Below are 23,590 nucleotides of genomic sequence, written 5' to 3'. Positions count from 1 at the left end.
TAACGCCGCATACCTACAACTATCTGATCTTTGACAAACCTGAGAAAAACAAGCAATGGGGAAAGGATTCCCTATTTAATAAATGGTGCTGGGAAAACTGGCTAGCCATATGTAGAAAGCTGAAACTGGATCCCTTCCTTACACCTTATACAAAAATCAATTCAAGATGGATTAAAGATTTAAACGTTAGACCTAAAACCATAAAAACCCTAGAAGAAAACCTAGGCATTACCATTCAGGACATAGGCATGGGCAAGGACTTCATGTCTAAAACACCAAAAGCAATGGCAACAAAAGCCAAAATTGACGAATGGGATCTAATTAAACTAAAGAGCTTCTGCACAGCAAAAGAAACTACCATCAGAGTGAACAGGCAACCTACAAAATGGGAGAAAATTTTCGCAACCTACTCATCTGACAAAGGGCTAATATCCAGAATCTACAATGAACTCAAACAAATTTACAAGAAAAAAACAAACAACCCCATCAAAAAGTGTGCGAAGGACATGAACAGACACTTCTCAAAAGAAGACATTTATGCTGCCAAAAAACACATGAAAAAATGCTCATCATCACTGGCCATCAGAGAAATGCAAATCAAAACCACTATGAGATACCATCTCACACCAGTTAGAATGACAATCATTACAAAGTCAGGAAACAACAGGTGCTGGAGAGGATGTGGAGAAACAGGAACACTTTTACACTGTTGGTGGGACTGTAAACTAGTTCCACCATTATGGAAGTCAGTGTGGTGATTCCTCAGGGATCTAGAACTAGAAATACCATTTGAGCCAGCCATCCCATTACTGGGTATATACCCAAATGACTATAAATCATGCTGCTATAAAGACACATGCACACGTATGTTTATTGCGGCATTATTCACAATAGCAAAGACTTGGAACCAACCCAAATGTCCAACAATGATAGACTGGATTAAGAAAATGTGGAACATATACACCGTGGAATACTATGCAGCCATAAAAAATGATGAGTTCACGTCCTTTGTAGGGACATGGATGAAATTGGAAATCATCTTTCTCAGTAAACTATCGCAAGAACAAAAAACCAAACACCGCATATTCTCACTCATAGGTGGGAATTGAACAATGAGATCACATGGACACAGGAAGGGGAATATCACACTCTGGGGACTGTTGTGGGGTGGGGGGAGGGGGGAGGGATAGCATTGGGAGATATACCTAATGCTAGATGACGAGTTAGTGGGTGCGGCGCACCAGCACGGCACATGTATACATATGTAACTAACCTGCACAATGTGCACATGTACCCTAAAACTTAAAGTATAATAAAAAAAAAAGAAGTTGTTATTAGTCTATTCAAAGTATTAAAGCAAAATATGACAATGACTCAATAAATAGGAAATGTTAGTAGAGAAATAGAAAGCTATAAAATGAAGCAAATGTATATTTTAGAGTTGAAATGTCAGTAGCAAAAATAAGAAATTTACTAGATGTTCTCAATAGCAAATTTGAGATGGCTGAAGAAAGAATCAGTGTATTTGAACATTGTTCAATATAAATTATCTAATCTCAAGGGAGAAAAAGGATTGAAAGAAATGAAAACAGCTTCAGAGCCATATAGGACAGTATCAAGTATGGTAACATACATGAAACAGGAGTAGTAGAAAAAGAAGTGAAAGAGTAAGGGGATGGATCAAATATTTGAAGAAAAAATGGCCAAAAACTTCACATATTTGATTATTTAAAAACTTTCTTAAAATTAATCTACACATCCAAGAACTTTAACAAAACCTGAATAGGACAAACACAAAGAGACACCCATAATCAAACTTCTGAAAGCCAAAAGACACATCATAATCAAACTTCTGGAAGCCAAAAAGAAAGACTAAATTATAAAAGTAGCAATTGAAAGGAGCAAAAACCAACCAACCAAACAAACAAAAACAAAAGCTCATCCCATTCAGCAGACTAATAATATAACTAGTGGCTCATTTTAATCAGAAATAATGGCGATCGAAAGATATATTCAAAATGCTAAAAGAAAGAGAAACAATCCACTCTGAATTCTATATCCATTGAAATTATCCTTTAAAATTAAAAATGAAAAAATCTGAAAGAATTCATTGCAAGTAGATTTGTCTTACACGAAATACTAAAGTCCTTCAGGCTGAAAAGAAATGACAACAAACAGTAACTCCAATTCATGGGATAAAATAAAGAGCACAAAAAATGGTAAATACGTGAGTAAATATGAAAAATTATATATGTAGTCTTCATATGTGAGTAAATAAAAACTATACATACATTTATTTTTCTTTTCTTTTCTCTTAATTTTGTTAAAGAACATGAAATTCTTTAAATCAGGGGTTCTTAGCCCCTGGACCATGGACTGGTACTTGTCCGTGGCCTGTTAAGGAATGGGGCCACACAGCAGGAGGTGAGCAGTGTGTGAGTAAGAAAAGCTTCATCTGTATTTACAGCTACTCCCCATCACTTGCATTACCATCTGAGATCTGTGTCCTGCCAAATCAGTGGCTGCATTAGATTTTCATAGGAGTGCGAACTCTATTGTGAATTACACATTTGAGGGATCTAGGTTGTGTGCTCCTTATGAGAATCTAATGCCTGATGATCTGTTGCTGTTTCCCATCACCCCCAGATGGGACCATCTAGTTGCAGGAAGACAAGCTCAGGGCTCCCACTGATTCTACATTATGGTGAGTTGTATAATTATTTCATTATATATTACAATGTAATAATAATACAAATAAAGTGCACAATAAATGTAATAGGCTTGAATCATCCCCAAACCATCCCCCTCCACCACAGTCTATGGAAAAGTTGTCTTCCATGCCGGTACCTAGTGTCAAAAAGTTGGGTACTGCTGCTTTAAATCCTTAATTTAACACTGAACTGTTGAGTTTAATACATATATTATTATATACGTGTACTTTATAGTTTGATATAGATGCAGTATATTTAGTAATACAGAGTGGTTTAGAGGAGATACGGTGGAGCAAGTTGCAAAAAAAGAAAATAAGAGAAAAATAGACATAGGAACAGACAAACAAATGCTTCTGACTTTGGAGTTATCCAACAAAGATTTAAAATAACTCTTTTTCATATAGTCAAGAAAACAGAGAAGAAATGGAGGAAGTAGATCAAAAGGTGGACAAATTTATCAAAAATTAAAAATCTATCAAATGTGATCAAATAACTTAAAAATACAATATCAGAAATTAAGAACTAATTTGATGGGGTAAAAACTTATTGGACATCATAGAGATAGAGTTCATGATTGGAAGACAGGTGAATACCTAATTGAATCACAGAAGGGAAAAAAAGTAGAAAATATAGAAGAAGGCATTAGAGATATATAAAAATGTAAATTTAGGTGTTTTTATTTTGCACCAGAAACCTAATGTTACAAATTTAAATGCTCATAAAAGAAAGCATGCAAGTATCAGAAATTATGAGTGAATTCTTATATAATTTGGAAATGAAGAAAACTTTTCTTGACCAAAACTTAAAATCAGGACCAATAAGGGAAAAGAGTAATAGATTTTATTTAATAAAAATAAGAAACATGCTGCATTGCAAACAATATAAGAAAGTAAGAATAAATGACAAACTGGGAAAATATTTGCAACTTATATAACAAAGGATTAATAGGTTTTATATATGGGAAATTTTCAGTAAAATAAGGATAATAACCGTAATGAATTGAAATTCATCAGTATGTTTAAGTTCATATAAATTCATGATACTTAACATAAAATACTTACGGGTCACTTTCTAAAAATACTAGTTAACCAACTCATTTTTAAAACTGGTGATTAAAGGGAAAGAATCAAGTATCTATTCTGCTTTTCTTATACAAACTATACATCAAATAAATAATAAGTTGATGAGAGGAAGTTTCTCTTTATAGAAATACTTAAGCTAATAAATTAGGGAATGATAGAATATTTCTATTCGGCAAATCATAATGATTTAATGGATGTAGGCAAGGCTCACCAGTGGCTCTTAATATCATGTAACCAGAATTATGTGCCTCTCATATAACTATGCATCATCTATCACGTAGTCTTGCCAAAAAAAAAAAAAAAGAAAAAAGAAAACCTAAATGTTATCAAGTCTCTGTCAAGAATATAAGATAACTTAGAGTTTATAAGTCTAACTATAAGGTGAAAACATAGAGATACTATGGGACTATAAGAGCAAAATCCAGGCTGGACAAATCATCAAATTTATTCAACAAATATATCGCAAAGGAAAAATAACAAATGTAATATAGCTTTCAGATTAAAAGGGAATTTCCAAATAATCACAATATATCTAGTTTATCTGCATCCTAATTTAAAAAAAAAAACAAAATATAACATCAGGCTGATGGGATATTGAATAATATTAAATACTAATTTTTTTTTAGTTTTGGTGGTAGATTATGGCTTTTTTTTAATGACATCTTTATCTTTTAAAGATTCATACTAAAATAAACAAGAAGTCTTGCATTTTCTCCAAAGTAATCTTGGAAGGCAGCAGTTGATAAGGGTTTAAATAAAATGAGATTGCCTATGAGTTGATAATTGTTGAAGTTGTATGTTCAGTATGTGGGAAATTATTCTATATAATTTTCATAATTATTCTATGTATTTTTTGTATATTGTTTAGAGTTTTCCACAATTAAAGCTTTTATAGTTGTTTCATGAATCACCTAAAACCATCTCCAGTACCAGTATTGTCAGTTATGAGCAACATATTTTAAGAAAAACAAAACAATCCCTTTCTTCCTTGATTCACTGCTATTATCCTCTAACTCAGAGGTCATAAACCTTGGCCTGTGGGCCAAATCTGGCTTGTTGCCTATTTTTGTAAATAAAGTTGAATTAGAACACAGTCAGGCCCATTCATTTACATATTCTCTGTGATGCTTTTTATGCAACAGTGGTAGAGTTGAGTAGTTGTGACAGAGACTACATGGACCACAAAGCCTAAAATATTTAGTATTTGGACTATTTCAGTCTGTTTTGTGATGCTGCAAAAGAATATCTGAGATTAGGTAACTTATTAAAAGACATATTTGTTTATCTCAGTTCTTGAGGCTGGAAAGTCCAAGATCAAAACATCGGCAGGTTTGGTGTCTGGTTAGAGCCCAGTGTCCTGTCCTCTTTCAAGATGGCACTTTGAATGCTGCATCCTCGGAGGGAGGAATGCTGCTCCCCACATGGCAGAAGAGCAGAAGAGCCACAGAGAGAAAAGAGGGGGACAAACACACATTTTTATATTGCCACAAATCTTTTCCAGGAGAGTGGAGCCCTTATATCACCTCTTAAAGGGCCTGGGGTCTAATATCCAGTGTCTACAAAGGAACTTAAACAAATTTACAAGAAAAAAAACAAACTCATTAAAAAGTGGGCACAGGACATGAATAGACACTTCTCAAAAGAAGACATATATGCAGCCAACAAATATGAAAAAAAGCTCAACATCACTGATAATTAGAGAAATGCAAATCAAAACTACAAGGAGATATCATCTTGCACCACTCAGAATGGCTATTATTAAAAAGTCAAGAAAGAACAGATGCTGGTGAAGTTGCTGAGAAAAAGGAATGCTTTTACACTGTTGGTGGGAGTGTAAATTAGTTCAGCCATTGTGGAAGACAGTGTGGCCATTCGTCAAAGACCTAAAGGCAGAAATACCATTTGACCCAGCAATCCCGTTACTGGTATATACTCAAAGGAATATAAATCATTCTGTTATAAATCATTCTGACCCATGAGGGGGAACAATACACACTGGGGCCTGTCGGAGGGTGTGGTGGGGTGAAGGAGAGCATCAGGAAGAATAGCTAATGGATGCTGGGCTTAATACCTGGGTGATGGAATGATCTGTGCAGCAAACTACCATGGCACACATTTACCTATATAACAAACCTGCACATCCTGCACATGTACCCCTGAACTTAAAATTTGAAGAAAAAGAAGGTCCCATGTCTTAATACTGTTACAATGACAATAAATTTCAAAATGATTTTGAAGGGGACAAATATTCAAAGCTTAGCATGACCCTTCAGAGAAAAAGTTTGTCAACTTCTGCTGTAATCTCCCAATCACACTCCGTTTTTCTTTGAAAATGTTTTTATGTAGACTGCAATATTTTGCAGCCCCAAACCTGACATAACCTAGGTGCTTTCAGTGACCATGCAGATGACTTCTCCAATACCTGGACTCTCAGTTCTTCCCACTGTCATCTTCATTAATTGTCTCCACTTCATTTTAGCCATCTACTCTCACAATCACATCTTGGATCTTGTTATCATGTAAAATAGCTCATCTACAAAATCACAAATTCAGACCTACAAACATCTCTTCTTCCAGTTTGTGCAACCAGTTTCATTTCAACTGTTCTCCAACCTCATTGGTCTTTTAATGAGTTAATCACTCTACTTTTTTCCAAATCACCAGCTTTATTTTTTCTTTGCATCTCTTATTATCAAGCTAAAGTTCTATAGTGCATTATGTCAATAATATTTTTGCTTATACCCCAAATCCTTTGCCTTTTTGTTTTCCTTTTGGCAACAATCTAAAAAGGAATCCAAATGTGGCACTATGTACTTTTTAATGCCCAGACTCAAGCAGCCAATCACTGCTGGAGAAAGCCTTGTGCGAATTGTTTTCACTACCATTTCATACCATACCCAAATGGATGTTCAACACAGACCAAAAATCCAAATGTGTTAACTTAGTGAATCCATTTCCCTTCTATCCATAGCAGCTGTTTCAAACCTTCCTCAATCTTCTTTTCTGAAGCTTCCTTCCTCTCTCTAGCTGAAGATGGTTTTGTTTCCTATTTTAGAGAAATAGAAGACAGCACCTCCCTCATCATATGCACTCATCTTATTTTCCCTCCCACCTGTTACAATAAAAAAAAACTGTTCTTTTTTTTTCAATATCGGGGTAGTCCTACTTGTGTTGTGAGTATCATTGTCCCCATTTTCTTAGAAACCTTGGTTTATTATTTTATCTTCCATACTGTGTATTTAACTACCCTTTTTCAACTAGATCCTGCCCATTAACTTTGAAGCACAGTCAAGTGTTTCTTATTAATTGAAACCACCACCACCATCACTACTGTAGTATCAACAGAATCCCGCATTTGAACACCTCTATCTACTCTTCCTATTACTACTGGCAGATTTCTTGAAAGTCATATCAATGTGCTGTCCCCATTTCCTTGCCTCCCACTCATTCCTCTTCTCCCTCCAGCCTGACTTCCATTCCATAATGCCATCAAACAGTTCCTGTTAGGTGATAAAAAAAACTTCATGTTTTAAAATACATTCGAATAACTATTTTATCTTCTTAGAAACTTTATAATTGATGGCTATTCCTTTTATGTAATATGTTTCCAGGTTTTTGTGACCCAATTCACTCCTGATTCTACTTTTGCCTCTTTAATTGCTCTTCATTATCCTCTGAAGACTCACCTTTCTCCATCCGTCACCATGGACTCTGCTGAAGTGCCACATGGCTTTTCTTGCTTGATTTTCTCTTCCTAGAGGATTTCTTTCACTCCCAGAATTTTAGTTAACACTCACACTCAGATGACTCTGTATCTTCAGCTTAAACCTCTCTCCTAGATCTGAAATTGTATATCCAGTTTACCTAACGTCTTCTGTATGTCACAACTTCATGCCTAACTCAACATCTATAAGATTAAATGCAAAATAATTTCTGTATGATCTGATCATCTTCCAGTGTTCCCTAATACAATGTTCCCCTATTTTTTCTGTGTCACATATTAGAAATTAAAGCATCATCCTTGACGCTGCTTTTTATTCCTTCCTTCACGTAGGCAATCCACCACTGATCCTGTGGGGAGAATCTCCTACACAAGTTTCTAATCTAAACATTCTTCTATTTCTAGTTCATTGCCACTGTACTTAATGGTACCAGCATCTCTCATGTAGCTTTCTGCTGTTGTCTTCTAACTGATCCACACTATCGTCTCTGCCTTCTCCAATTCATTCTCTACACTTGAACCACAAAGATGCATTTTTGAAATGCAAAACAAAAAAAATCAAACAAAACAACCACCTTTTAATTAGTTCCCACAGCTCTTAGGATAAAGACAAAACTCCTTAAATGGACTAATCAATCTTTCTAACCTTATCGTCAACTGCCTCACCTGTAATCCCTCTGCTCCAGCCATAATACCTTTTAAAATCTCCCCTGCCTACCCAGTTGTTATAACTTCCTTCCCCCATAGAACCTTTGCATGTCCTGTTCTTTGTAAAGCTCTGTGTTCACTTGGTTAACTCCAGTTGAAGCAGCGCTTCCAAAGGAAAGGAAAGGAGAGGGGAGGGGAGGGGAAGAGAGGGGAGGGGAGAAGAGAGGGAAATGAAAATAAGGGGGAAGGGAAAGGAAAGGACAAAGTAAAGAAAGTCTTTTCTGATTTTCCTATTATACCCTCTCATACACTACTTCCTCACTTCTGAAGCACTTCTCACTGTTGCAATTTGATATTTGTTTGCTTATTTGATGAATGTCAACTTCTTCCTATTGAACTTTGTGATTCATGAAGACACAGTCATGCATATATGCCTACTCTGTGCCTAGTGCCCAGTGTCTAGCACTGTAAGCACTCAAAAACACTTGTTGGATAAAGACTAAATACAGGAATTTAAGAAGAGCCAGCATTCAGGCTCAATACAAACTAGACAGGATAACAACATGTTTTAGACCAAGCTTATCAACATTGTAGTATCAAAATTTTATTGCTACTATTACTACTACTTCCAGGACCATGACTTCTCCAACCGCATTCACTGCTACTACTGCTTCCAATAACATTAACAGCCCACCAAGGCATTTACTGTGAACTAGTAAATTAAAGCCATGTTATACTCTTATAACTGATCTTAATAACTACAAATTTTAAAATGCACCAAAATCTTACAATCTGAAGCATTATGGGATCCAGTAGCATTCAAATGAATGAAATCTAGATTATGACAATCCAAGGCTTAACTCAGAGAACTGCATTTCTTGGAGTGACTGAAAATCTCCTAACCTAGGAGGAAACTCTGTCAAGTGAAAGCGAAAAAGAGGCAAACCTCACACTGTTTATTATATTTCCACTCTTGTCCACAATCTCAGAGCACTAAGACACACACAGAGACAAAATATTGTGAAAAGAGAACAGAATCCTTTCACAGCTAGGCCCTTGGGGAACATGGGAACAGGATTTAGACACACACTGTGTTGTGAGCAGACAAGAGAGAATGACTCAAACAGCAACAGAAAAGAAACAGGAAGAGATGATCAACTCAAACACTTCAAGTCCCTCAGCATTTTCAAATTAGGTTCTTATGCACCACTTCAATTTGCATTTGTTTATGTACTATATAAGTGTTTGCACTTCAGGTGTGTTTTGCTTACCCAACTAGCTTGTAAACTTAAAGATTGCACAGGGGCATAAGAAGAAAACTGTACAAGTGAGAGGAGAAGAAGCAAGAGAAGATCAAAACAGTAAAGGGTAGAAAGAAAATATGCTATTGGTTGTGAACTTGACAGAGCTCTCAGATGGCAACTGCCTCCCTTTAGTCAGCTGCCTACTCTGTAGCTCCGTACCAGGCTTACATTTGTGGTCACTCTGTGGTGAAGGATGTTTCCCCCTTCTGTTTTGCTCTTTTCTATTTTACTCCCTTTGTACCCAAAATCACAATACCAGAACCATTTCTCTAACACTGAGGCCATTGCTTTTCATCTGATCCAGATGACAGCAGCAAAGTTACATTCAGAAGACCGGAAATTTTCCAACCGCAAAAAGTATAGATACGGTTTCTGCCTCTCCAGTGACCTGCAGTTTTTAGTAGCTACAAGCTTAACTCCCTTGGTTCTCTTTATTTTAAGAAATACATTTCTTTAAAGGCAACATCATCCTCCTTTCTGGATAATATACTATCTGTTCTCCATTGCTGTCTTCATTTTGTGGCATCACTTATTCTATTTCCTATAAGGTACATCAGTCCATGTTGCCAAGTCTCAATGAAGGAAACACTGAGTCCTCCGTGAGGCAATAGTATTGTTTACTGGTTCAGGCAGAATGTACAAAAAAAACTATGTATGAAACCAAGGTCAATGTGTACTTGTACTAACATTACATGGCAAATGTCTTACTGGGTTCCAAATGAGGTCAATATATAAAAAGAAGGAGCAGGGCTCATATTTAATTGGAACTGAGAAATAGAATTTGCTCAATATAATTATTACTATTCTTAATTGAAAACTACCATTTACCAAACTCTTATCCTTTAGCAGGAACTATATGTTTAAGTGCATTACACAGATTATCTCATTTAATCACCAAGCTAGTGATACCTGTAAAGAAAGCACTATAATTATCCATATTTGTTATGTAAGAAACTTGAAACAACTTGGGAATGATGAAACGTATGGTAAATGATAGAGCCAATATCCAAATACAGGCTACCTGAATCAAACTATGTATAGCTAAACAGTTTTCTATATAGGTCTTCCATTTCTCTTTACTTCAATCCCACTCCACTCCATCCTTAATTGAACTGAAGTGTGTGTGTGTGTGTGTGTGTGTGTGTATGTGTCTGTGTGTGTGTGTGTGTGGTGTGTTTTCCTCCTGGAAAACAGCAAGGGAATTGGGCATTATAAGATAGTAGTTGATGGGACCTTGGCCTATAGGTGGACTGTTCCAACAGCATATTTTTAAAGCAAGTAAGTTATAAGACATGGAGAGGAGGCTATAAATCCATACCTGTTGCTTGTTCTGGACAGCTCTATGCCCCCTTTAATATGACCTTCACGAGTTATTTTTTTTTCTTATATTACCAGGCCACTTTGCCCTGAGTTAGAACCAGTCCACTGCCAGTGCATTTTGCATCTGTTGGCTTTCACTTTCATTGTTTTCCATTAGCAGAAATGAAAATCATTTACTTTAGGACCAGGTAATTTAGGGCAGGCATTATTATAATCATTTTCCAAATGGGCTCAGAGAATTTACACCACAGGCCCCAAGTCAAATTTTATTTCTATTCAGAAAGGAGCTAGAACTTAAATCTAGGATTCCCACTTCTAAATGCAGGCCTCCAAAGTATGTTTGGTGTGAATGCTTCATAGTTAGCAGCTTCCTTTGTCCCTTTACCTGCCCTAGACTAAATATTGTATACCCAGAATCACTTTCATAAATTCACCCACAAACCTTCCTTTACCTTCCATCACAGTGAATAGCACCACCATTCAGGTGTGCATGCCAGACACCCAGATGTCACCTTTAACTTCTTTCTCTCCTTCCTTCATACTGCCCTTGTCTTATATTCTCTCTATGATCATATCTGTTTTATGCCCAATGAACAAAATTTGCCATTTTCCTTCTATATCTACCTGAACTACCACTCTCTCTTTTCTGGGCTACTGAGGTGGTCTCCTGAGTTGTCTCTACCTTCTCCTTCTTGTCCATCTTCACCTCATTTTCACATGAAAGTCAGTATGACTTTTTTTTTTTAAACAACACAAATACAGTCAGCCTATAAATGTCATGCCATCCTTTTGTTGGAAATACTTCCATGTCTTCTTATGGTTCTGAGATCAAAATAGAAACCTTTTAAAAGGGAAGCTGACCAGGTCCAACATGATCTGGTCCTTACCTGCCTTATCCTTTAATTGCTGTATTGCTGTCCCACTGGCATTTTCCCATTTCTTCAAACACTCCAAAGAGCTTCATGCAAGCTCTTTTCTCTCTCTGGGATTACTCACAATCCCACTCTGCCTCAGCCCCACCTCCTAAATTGTGGTAGTGTCTACTCATTCTTTAGACTTAAGCTATGGTGTTAATTTCTAAAGGACAATTTCAATGGCCTCTGTGATGTGCTCCTTCACAAGACTGTTACAGTATTTATTATCGACACTTATCACTGTTGCAAGTTTACATTTATTTACTTAAATGCTGTGGTCACTTCCTGTCTCTCTTATCAGACAGTAGCTCTTTCTGCTCAACCTTTGTATGCTGAGCACCAAGCCTAACCTTGCTTTTCTTAAAATGTACATTTGTTGAATGAGAGAGAGCTGAATGAAAGCACATCCCTCTACCAGTTATGCTTACCGTGTGTCTGAATGAGAAGGTTGTAGATTTTAGTCTGAATGCCCTCTGGATACAGAACAAGCATACACTCGTACCTTCCACTGACTGAACAAGACATATTCCTTAAGTGCAGAGTCCATTTTGACCCATTCTCAGGAGTTTCTGTGAAAGTCACAAGTGACTCACAGGGTCTCCCATAGGCACAGTAGAAGCCGTATTGGGGATGATAGACAGCAATCAGGTCTATCTTATTGGTGACCTTGGACCATTGCATCTGCACGAAGAAGCCTACTGTCTGTGTTTGGCAGGTCAGGTTGACATCAGAGCCAAGTGTAGCATAAACATTTTCTTCTGTGTTGACTGTTTTTTCCCAAACTCCTGAAAAGAAAGAACATGAGCCATGAGTTTAAATAATTCACATAGAATGACGCTTAATTAAAAACCCTAGTCACTTCAGTAAGGTGAGGGGAGCAACTGAGGAAATTTCTCCCTGGCTGCTTTAGGAATAGAGTAGAGCTTGTGTCTCACTCAGATAGAGATGCATGAGACAATATAAATGAGGAGGCATTTACGTAGAGAAGCTAGAGGTAATTACTGACTTCTAAATATTTATCTATGTGTTGGTCTGACCAAAATATAATTGAAGGTTTCAGACTACCTGTGAATAAAATTAAGCCTATTTGAAAATTGAAGCACACCAGCAAACTTAGTATGACGATTCTTCTTACGTTTAATATAATTGGCTTTTTGGGTTATAAAACGACAGCTGAATATAATACACACGTGATGCTTTCTGAAACTGCAAAAATAAATGATATGTGTATAGCAATTTCTTTGAAAAATACATGTTTACAAGGGCCTTTCATATCTTATCTTGTTTAATCCCCCTCACACGCCATAGGTGATGTTGTTAACCCCTTTTTATGAGGAAGAAACTGGGCCACAGAGAGATGAAACAGTATGCTCAAAGTCACACCTCCAGGCCTGGCGCAGTGGCTCACGCCTGTAATCCCAGCACTTTGGGAGGCTGAGGTGGGCAGATCATGAGGTCAAGAGAACCAGACCATCCTGGCCAACACGGCAAAACCCCGTCTCTACTAAAAATACAAAAATTAGCTGGGCGTGGTGGTGCACGCCTGTAGTCCCAGCTACTTGGGAGGCTGAAGCAGGAGAATCGCTTGAACCTGGGAGGCGGAGATTACAGTGAGCCGAAATCATGCCACTGCACTCCAGCCTGGCAACAGAGTGAGACTCCATCTCAAAAAAACGAAAAACGAAACAAAACAAAAAAAGTCACACCTCCAGTAAAAGAATGAATTCAGTTGCCCAGAGTCTGTGGTCTTTCTATAACCCTCATAAGTATAACAGTAAAACTCCAGCCAAGGAAGACAAAGAGACCTTTAGAGACCAAAGAGAACTTTATTTAATTCAGGCATCCAGGCCCACAGCAGACTCATGCCCAAAATGGCTGCTGACTCTGACAAAGAAAGCAGGCTTGCTTATATGTCGTTTGAGGTGGGAAAACAAGGCAGGATACAGGTTTCAGGCAAAGACAGTAAATTATTTAACCCGTGACAATTCTGAGAAAACTTACAATTTAGTTATCTTAACCAGTCAATCTTGAAGCTAGACAGAGATGGGGTAAGGTAAAACAGGAGTTACAGAAATATGTGGGGGTCTGGGGGCAGGCAAGAAGCTTGGAAGGTTGAGATAAGCTCACAGCTGCAACTTGTTAGCAATGCTGGGAGGGGCTACTTAAATTTCTTAGCCTACATATAACTTCTAAGTAACCTATACTTAATGTTAACTATTACCTATGTTATGCTTATTATTTTAAACTTTATTATTACTTATTTTATTTTATTTTCCTTCCACATAACTTCCAAACTGTCTCCCAAATTCAGTCTAGTTGATTAGAGTAAGAAATTTCACTTTCAATATACAAGGATTGAAAGGACCTCATCTAACCTTAGGTAGAGGTTCCACTTAGTATCACCTCTAATCGATGGTCTGAAATACTAGACATAAGTAGAGTCTCTTTCCCATCAGCAGTCTGACTGAGTGATACAGGACACTTAAAATGTGTTAAGCATTGAGACTGTGACATGCCTTCAATAGTGTTGGCCTCAGTTTTAGAATTAACATGGAATCCTGTTACAGAAATGATATATATTATTGTGACAAGTACCACTGAAGCTCACAAAAGGAAAAGATAAAAAGATGACAAGCAACTGAGAAGAAACAAGCCTCTTAAAAGTAAAAGTACTTGACAAATGGGAATTATCATACTTCTGTGGATGCAAAAGTTTGGTAGGCAGAGGTTAGTACAGTTTAATGTAACTTCCTGTGAGCTATCCTTTGCCTGAAAATATGGCTCTGATCCTATCTACAGCATTATATTCCAAATCTCTTTTGATTTAGAAATTCTCCTTAATATTTTCATAGCTATGTCTGAAAAGCACAGTTAATTCTTAAGACACTCAGGCTTACTATGATACTCTCATACTGTGGAATACAGAACTAATCTTGCTTCCTTCTCTTTTTAAATAGGCCCATTAGGCTCTCGTTCCCACTGTCATAAGGATTCCACTTTGTCTCCCAGGTTCATACCTACACATGCCTCATTAAAATTCAACGTGTTTTCAACTCCCAAAGACCTTAGTATTTGGATGAGAAATACTTGTTATATCCAAAAGAAAGAGAGTACTTGAGAGAGAAAAAAGTTAAACAAGGATCTCTGAGCGTTGATGGCTTTGTAATTTTTAATTTTTCCGCAGTTGTTTTGGCTACCATTTGGAGAGCATTTCATTTCCAAGAAACACAATTTGCCAATTACTCCAGAGATCCTGTTAGAAAGGAAATGGGTGAAAATGCCTCAGAGCAGTGGCACAAATGACCCATTCCCTTCTTATTTTTAGTGTTCATTAGTAATCATTTCTAGATTCTAGCATCTCTCTTATACCTGCCGCTTAAATACATAACTGAAACCCTTAGTAATGATTTGTCCTTTGGTGATCAATTTCAGCAGCAGTCACAAGGCATTTTAAATGAACAGAGGCCCCATCCGCCCCTAAAGCGGCCCATCCGACAAGAAGGGACAACTGGAAGTCTTACCCTTGACAAAATGTATCTGGATGATGTAATAGACAGCACAGTATTTCCATTTTTTCTCCATTGTCTTCTGAACACCTTACACCAGCATTTCTGTAATGATCACAAAGTCAATTGATGTTTTCAAGCAAACTCCAGCCACCCACTTCGTGCTAAAAAACCCGAACTCTACCACACACGCCTGGGTCTGTTTATCACTTGGCAAGCCCCCAGGAAATGAAACGTAGACAGGAAAGTAATGTGGTTCAGGACTGAGTATAACGTTCGACAGAACAATGTTGAAATTGTTCTCTGAAATTTGTGTATCACCTTATTTAAGAGACTTTTCAGTATCCAAAGAGTCTCTTATTCAGGATCTCTGTGTCAGTCAAGCTGCGTCTAAAATCCAAACAAAGGATATCACGCAGAGCAGTTGGCAATGTGCTTTTTATACATTTTTTTCAAGAGCACAAAGTCATTTAACAAATGTGAGCTTGGTGTTTTTCATAATAGTTTTTCTGTTCAATCTTAAGATATGTTTTCTTTCCAGAATTGCCCTGGGGTGAAAGAACAAAGAATTAACACATTTAATTTTAATAAAATCTGAAAAGTAACAGGGAATAGTGTCAGCTATCAAACCAAATTTTATTGTCTCTCCTCTTGCAGGGAAATGCACATTTCCTGGGAGTGGAGGAGTGAGGGCTACTTTTCTACCCCTCGTCTGGGAAGACGAGGGAAGGTTGGAGGTCAGATAGGGAAGTCTCCCACCAGGTTGGCTGGAGGCCATTTTTGTTCACCACAGAAGAGTTTATCCATGCCTAAGCCAAAGCAAGGCAGTAACAATCAGAATCCAAAGGCAGAGAATTCCCACCTCAGTGAGCTATTAGGCTTATTACATCTGCCTAGTTACTTCTATTTACAGAGAACCGCAAACAGGTTTCAGGAAAGTGACCCCTTGGTAAAAATGTCTGGCTATTCGTAGAACACGATGACTGTTCCCTGCTATGATTCTCTGATTTAATTGTATTAGTTTTTCAGCCTGAGATAAAATAGGCTGTCATCACCCTCCAACATTAAGAAAACAAGCATTAGACTGAGGACTACTGTAAGTTTGATGGACAAAGAATAACTACAAATAAACATGTGTGTCTTCATACAACCGTATGAATGATTAAAATATCCTGTGACCCTAATCTCATTACTAGAATATACGTACCACCTAGCAAGACCAAAGACAAATGAAAAGGCCAGTTGTAATCCTGAGATGGGAATTCTTTTCAGGTGAGGTGGAGATAATTTTCGTCAGGTTGTCATCATGTATACACCAATCTCTCCTATGCAAGGACTCGTGGTGAATATGGACGATGCTAAGACAGAAGGAAATGCTTTTGCCATTCAGGAGATTAAATTTAGATGGGAGAAGAGAGGTTTTCATGTAAATAAACAAGGGCGACTGTCTTCCTGGACGTCCAGATCACCCCCTATACCACCACTGCAAATACTTGCCATGATAATTGCCATACTTATTCAGTATTCCTCAGCTAATGATTTCTTGCAGAATTTAGATGTAGTTACTGCTTGCCTAGTCCAGTGCTCCCCAAACCTTTATTATCACCCCTTCCCAACTTCCCATGAGTTTCAGGTCACTGGGGATATTGGGTCAGGTAGTACTGACAGTGATTTTCCAGGGAAGGCCTGGGAACTCAAAGTCCTTTATAGAAGGTCAGGAAGAGACATAACTGCTCTGGGTAGCTTCATCTCTTCCCATTGCCCCTGGAAATTCTAGTAAATCAAAGTTTTATGAAGCATAGCAGCAAAAATAGTCCTGGAGATGCACTATGAAGATCCTGATTTGCACGTTGGTGTCCCTATTAAATCAGGACACATTACAAGCCTGGAGAAGGGATTCTATGATCTCGTTCCATTTTTCATATTAAGAGGAATTTACCTAAGTAGAAACCAATTCAAATATACATTTATTGAATTCTCTAAGAACAATACCCTCTTTGGGGTATTTAGACTTCTCCTATCTTTTATTGTATTAAAGTGAAACAGTTGTTCCAAAAAAGTCTGTAAACTCAGAAACATGGAAATGGTCGTTTATTTTCCAGTGCTACAGACTTACTTTCAGTAGAATTCTTGCCTCTCATTGGGGTTGGGCTACCTGAGCCATGCATTTAGTGGCTATACGGCAAATCTGTCTTCTGTGTATTGTTCAGGGCTTAGTTAATGATTCTTATATCTAGAAACTTCTATGGCCTGAAGCCATCAGATTTGATTAATTTTTCTTTGGGATCCACACAGGTTCTGAAAGTATAACAATTTCAGATGCATGGCCACAGAATATTAACTGAACGCTTACACTTCGGGTGTCCTGCAGCTGCAAGACCCAGGCAACAGCCCCTCCATGGCTGTTTGCATGCAGCAGGTGGCAGCAACACTCCGCAGACTGGCACGGCTATCCCAGGTGATGGGAATTGCCCCCACCGCCTTTCAATCCTGGTAATATTTTCTAAAGGCTCTTTCAGCATGGGGATAGACAGGCGTTCTCTATACTTAAAAATAACTCTTCTATGGAAGTCATGTCAATCTCTTCTATTATCCTCCCTACCCACCATATCCCGATTGCACAGGGTTTCTTCTGCCTTATAGTCTGCTGCACATAAGGAGAAAACAGAAGCAAGTCAGTTTCACACACAAAAAGAAATCGTGATCTTCTTGAACTGCAGAGGCAAATTCAATTATTTACAAAGAGAAGCAGGAACACACATTATTTCTGCTAAAGGCAAGCCATGATTGTGTGTTTTGGACAAACTTTTTAAATGCTCTAGCTAAACACACTCAGTGAGAAAAGGACATTTTCAGAAACAGGAAGTTGAGCAAAAGGTAAACTTACTTTTGTGGTTTTCATAATGGTTAACTCAAATATTACTTACTTATCTTTAAACACTTACTAAAAATAAAAATGGGAGTGCTATACTTTTGCATGTTTTCCAAAATGCTTAGAAAACATGATGGTTAAGGTTTCAGTTAATTAAAAAATACTTGCTGTATGTCAATTCTTAAGAGATTACTGAAGAGGCATAGTTCTAGATAATTTTAAAATACCAAAGATAAAACACAACCCTCAGTTTTAAGGCAGTTACCATTTAGCTGGGAGGAAGCATCCATGTGCACCAAAAAAGTCAAGCAGCATAAAGCACAGCCCAAATGAGAAGGTAGGGCAGGATTTTAGCAAAGGGGGAGTTATCTTAGGGGTAGAGTGGGCCAAGAGCATATGAAGTATGGAATCTAAACTTGGCCCTATAGGCGTCAGACTGGTAGAAACCGCAAGCTAAGTCATTCCAGGCAGAAGAAACAGGAAGAGCCAACACTTGACAGTGTTGAAGTTCAAGGCCATTTAGTGAGTGGGCTATTCCGGTTTAGCAGAGGCTGTATTAGGGGACTTGGAGCAGACAAAGCTGTCCAAGAGCTTTGAATTCTAGGCTAAAGGGTGTGGGTTTTTTCCTCATGTCAGAGAGACTCCCTAAAGATATTTCAGCATATGAGTCATATATTTAAAGTAACATTTTAAAAGGATAAATTGGGTGGGCGTGTGTGAAATGAATGGAAGAAAGGAGAACAGAGAAACAGAAGACTTGTTAGGAGTTTATGTTTCTTTGGGCACTTTAGGATGAGAATGGGCTGACTGGCATGGCGAAGCATGATGAAAGCAAGGTCATTACCAATAAAGAGGCTGTAAGGTGAGATGTACGATTGGGCATGGAATCAAAATATCCTATAAAGTTTCATGCCTCAGAATTAGGAAAAAGGGAAAACAAACAGAGTTGGATTCTTGCTGGAAGAACCACCCTAATCAAGGAGCAGTTATTAAATGATCAATAGATTTTTGATGGATGTGAAAGATAACCTATTATGGCACAGCTAGCAGTCCTGCCTTCATCAGAGTAGAGTTCTTTTGGTTTTCACTCAAATTTTATGAGTTTTATGAGTTAGCATGTAATGAAAAAGAATTTCATGAGACTTTCAGCATAGCAATCTGTTTTATCACCATTTTCACCATGCCGAATTCCATCCATGAAAGACTAATTTTAGTTTAATACTTCTTTTTCAGTTACAACATCAATATCTGCTCATTACATGAAACCATTTTAAATGGATAAGAAAGAAAATTTAAATGGATAAGAAAGAATTCTAACTGCCCAAAGACTACCAAGACCTATATGGTGTATATTTGTCTAGATTTCTTCATAAACATGTACATATAAAGAAAATGAATTTTTACCACATGCATGTTAAAAATTCATTTTATAGATGTACAAAAAATAATTTTAGGTAAGATATATATAAAATTTCCACCTGGCATTTTACTTTCAGAAATAAAATTATATAATTCAATTAGATAATTATAATAAGTAATCTTTGAATATTTATTTTGAGTAGCAAACTGAAACAAGGAGAGAGAGAGAGAGATGGAGAAAGAGACAGAGACAGAGATATTTTGAAATTGCCAAAGCCCTGGCAATTTAATAACTCAGTAATCAAAATGTTGATTTTTTCAGAAATACATTGAAGAAACCATTAATATTTCCAAGGTTAAGTTAGCATAGCCAGAATTAGAAGAAATATTTTAAGTTCTACATTCTACCTGGCTTCAAAACATTAAAATTTATTAAAATGTCTCTTCATAGTCAATGAAGAAAGAAAGAACACCTTGAAAAATGAGAAGGGTTGCAATTGATTTTATAGCTTAAAAATAGATAGTGTGGAGCAAAATCATATACTGTGGTTCTTTGATAGACTGCTACAATAATATTCTTAATCACATTGTATTTTTACAACTATAGTTCACATAGAAACTGTCGTGTTTCTGTACTTGGTGAAAACAATAGACTAGGTAAGGTCAACCAAGGACTGAATCACCCCTCTGTTCCCTGTTATTTCCCCCAGTAATTTCCTTTTAAATGGAGTCCTGCATTTGAGGACAAGAGTGAAAGAAATAGGGCATGCAGAAGTGCAAGAGAGGGAGGGAGACAGAGAGAGAGAGAGAGAGAGACAGAGAGACAGAGAGACAGAGAGAGGACAGAAAGCACACTTTTGTATTTGTTGCTTTGAGTAATGGTATAGCTCAATAAAACCTCAATTAAGTAATGTTATCAGGGAATAGGAGATTGCGATTAATAGCATTTCCTGGGCAAATGAGAGCCAAACCAAATTCTTTTCTTGGAAGAGGAGGGGTAGTACTGGGGAGGAGAAGTAAGTAGGATAGAAATTAGTCCTTGTTGGTGAACATCTTTTAAAAATGCATTGTTTCACATTTCTGGCTCAATGAAAACCTTATCATGAATATAATTTTATTTCAAGATTGGAGATCTTACAGAGACCAGGGACTTTGTTCTGAACCACAGTCCCCAGAAAGTAATCATAACAAACAAGAAGACAGTTGTGCATAAAAATATGCTCTCTCCTTCAGAAAAGAAGTCTAACTTTGTAAAGATTTGCCTGTTTTGTGAAAGTGTTAAAAGCAGAGGCATGAGCATGCTTGCACACATAGGTTTTCTATTTCCTACCAAAACCTACAGAATGTTGGAGTTAGAAGAAACTGTATTGGTCATTTAGCATAGACTGAGCCCTTTATTTTACAGATGAAATAAATGACACCCGAAGAGGTAAAATGTCCTGCCCAAGATCAAAGTGTCTCTTATAAAAAATCCTGTGCTAGTTACGATGAGTCTTTTACACCATTAATACATTGAGCTTCATAACATATTCAATAATAAAAACCAATTATTCTTCAATTTAAAATGCAAATTGCCTCTAATATCTTGACAAATAAGAAGCAATCCAAAAAGCGTACATTTTTTTTCATTCCCATGACATTTCTATTGACAAAACTACACCTGTATGTCACAGAGGAAAAAATAAGGATTTATATATATTCAACTATACATACACACACAATAAATAGATTTTTATCTCAAACAATTATATATATATATTTTTGAGAAGTTTTTGTTTGTTCTCTTGCTTGCTTTTAAATTTAATTTCCTGGAGAAATTCTGACTGACTCTGGGTGAAACCAAGCATGCTATTTTTTAATTAAAGGTATTGAATTAGCTTCATTCCAGTGTTATATAACTCAGCATCAATTTTACTTTATTTTCACTGTTCTTTAGCCATTTATTATTCCCTTTGGTTTTGCTCAGGGAAGATACTATGGGTCTCATATTTACATCTCCAAACTCTCTTTCTCTTTTGAGCCTCTCCTCTATCTCCAATATACATGACTGTAACTTAATGGGGAAGCTTCTCTAATAACCCAGCACATAGTGAGGAAGGCCACATTTCCAGGGGTGCTAGAGGAGGATGGAGAAAAACTATAGAAAACGCTCCGTGTGGAGGTTTCTTTTAAGCAAGCTGAAGATCCTCAAAGCTCTTTTTTTCTAAAATAATAGTATGTCTTATTGCTTCAGAGAAAGTTAGAATCTACTTGGAATTAATAGTATTTTATCAGTTTCACACTTTAGCCATGTAGACCCATAGAAACTCAGGAGAATCAACTCCCTTATTTTATAAATCAAGACCTGGTGCCCAACAGTGGGAAATGCATCCTGAAGTCATAGTTATGTATATTTAAAGTATTGAAGTGGTTGGCTTTATCTTGACCTTTTTTTTCATACAGAAATGAACATTAATCAGATCATGAGTGTTACTACTTACATGATCATGAATAAAAGTCCACAAAATGAGGTCGAAATTTGGGTGTTGGCTGTTAACTAGGCTCACTCTCCTGCAGAGTGATTCACAGCACACATAATTCAGATGTATCACTTGGTAAAATAAAATATCAAAGAACAATGTGTCAGGGACCATGACAGTTACCTGTGAGAGATGAACACTTCAAATATCAACTCTGTAAATGTCCAAGTTCCCCTTTTCTTATGTCTCTAGGGCATACGCATGCTTGACCACAGCTAATGGCCCTAAAGGCCCCACGAGCTCCTGGCTACCTCTCCTCCCTCCTTCACCCCATGCTCCTTCACGTATCACAACCCTCCTACTCTTTCCTTTCTGTCCCTCAAGCTCTCTGTGTCCTTCCAACCTCGGGGCCTTTGCATTTGCCCTGCTTGGAAAACTCTTCCACAGGCTACATACATGAATATTTTCTCTCATTCTGTGGTTGTTCAAATGTCCTCACCTCAAAGAGGCCTTTCCTGAATTTCATGGCTATCTAAAGGAGCCCTGTCATGGGCCTCTGTCACAGCAACAACTGTGTTTTTTTCACAGGGCTTATTTGCATGAGACATTAAGTTGATTATTTATTTATTTGTTTTTTTGGTATATTGTCACTTTCCACTAGAGCGTTTGCCTGGGAAGGACAGGAGCTTTATGTATTAGTCACTTCTTGACTCACCAAACATTTTTGCAACCCACCATTAAAGTTAGGAAAAGATCAACGTGGTTTTCCTACTCCCTTGCAGTCACTCAGCACTTCACTTCTGACACCAGCTGTCTGGCGGTTTTCCCTCACACACCAAGCAGTTTTTCAGTTTTCTAGTCGACACCAACTGGATGTCCTATAATTTTATTCTGACACATATCTACCCAGATATAGTGTCAGATCTCACAGATTGAGGGCTTAGTCCCAAAAGACTGTCTCTCACTTCAGATGTCAGTTACAAGTCCCAGCTTGTGACCTGTGCTCCTGATTGACTGGCTATAATTCAGGGTTCCCATGACCCCCTTCTCAGGTTCAACTAATTTGCTAGGGTGGCTCACGGAACTCAGGGAAACAGTTCACTTATGTTTACCCATGTAAATAATGTTATAAAAGATGAAGATGACCAGCAGATGGAAAAGATGCATAAGGCAAGGTATGTGGAAGGGTGCAGGGCTTCTGCGCCGTCTCCAGGTGCTCTTCTCTCCCAGCACCTCCACCTGTTCAGCAATACGGAAGCTCCCCAAGCCCAGTCCTTTTGTGTTCATGGAGGCTTTATTACATAGGCATAATTGATTAAATTATTGGCCATTGGTGATCAGCTCAACCTTCAGGCCCCCTCCCCTCCTCAGAGGTCAGGGTGTGGGGCTGAAAGTTTCAACCTTCTAATCACATGGTTGGTTCCCCTGGTAACCAGCCTCCCATCCTGAGGCTATCCCAGAGGCCCCAGTCATCAGTCATCTTGCTAGCATACACAAAGACATCTATCACTTAAGAGGTTCCAAGAGTTTCAGGGGTTGTGTGCCAGGAACCGGGGACAGAGACCAAATACATAATTCTTATTACATCACAATATCACACCCACCTTTTCATTCCAGCTGTCATGGGTCCAACAGGCTGCTCAAATGTAAGCCTGAAAGCACCTCTCCTCAGCTGCCCTAAATATCTCTTACTT

The 23,590-nt window shown here is 37.6% G+C and overlaps 1 protein-coding gene and 1 long non-coding RNA gene across 16 annotated transcripts in view; both read right to left on the bottom strand.

Moving 5' to 3' along the window:
* Positions 1–15,334, bottom strand: part of CD96 (CD96 molecule) — a 123,800-nt gene extending 108,466 nt beyond the window's left edge. For all 15 annotated transcript variants that reach the window (XR_007093273.1, XR_924090.2, XR_241462.2 and 12 more), the window contains exons 1-2: positions 15,222–15,334; positions 12,129–12,485 (exon numbers count right to left, since the gene is read on the bottom strand). Coding sequence is in view for 5 of the 15 variants with exons in the window: in NM_198196.3 (NP_937839.1) it covers positions 12,129–12,485; positions 15,222–15,282 (418 nt within the window). In the remaining 10 variants the exon portion in view is untranslated. The remainder of the gene's footprint in view (positions 1–12,128; positions 12,486–15,221) is intronic.
* Positions 15,528–23,590, bottom strand: part of LOC105374039 (uncharacterized) — a 177,487-nt gene continuing 169,424 nt past the window's right edge. Inside the window, exon 3 of the long non-coding RNA XR_001740846.1 lies at positions 15,528–15,596. This is a non-coding gene — a long non-coding RNA (uncharacterized LOC105374039). The remainder of the gene's footprint in view (positions 15,597–23,590) is intronic.

Source organism: Homo sapiens, chromosome 3 (assembly GCF_000001405.40).
Source record: "Homo sapiens chromosome 3, GRCh38.p14 Primary Assembly".
NCBI lineage: Eukaryota > Metazoa > Chordata > Mammalia > Primates > Hominidae > Homo > Homo sapiens.
This window is presented reverse-complemented; position numbering and strand designations above follow the sequence as displayed.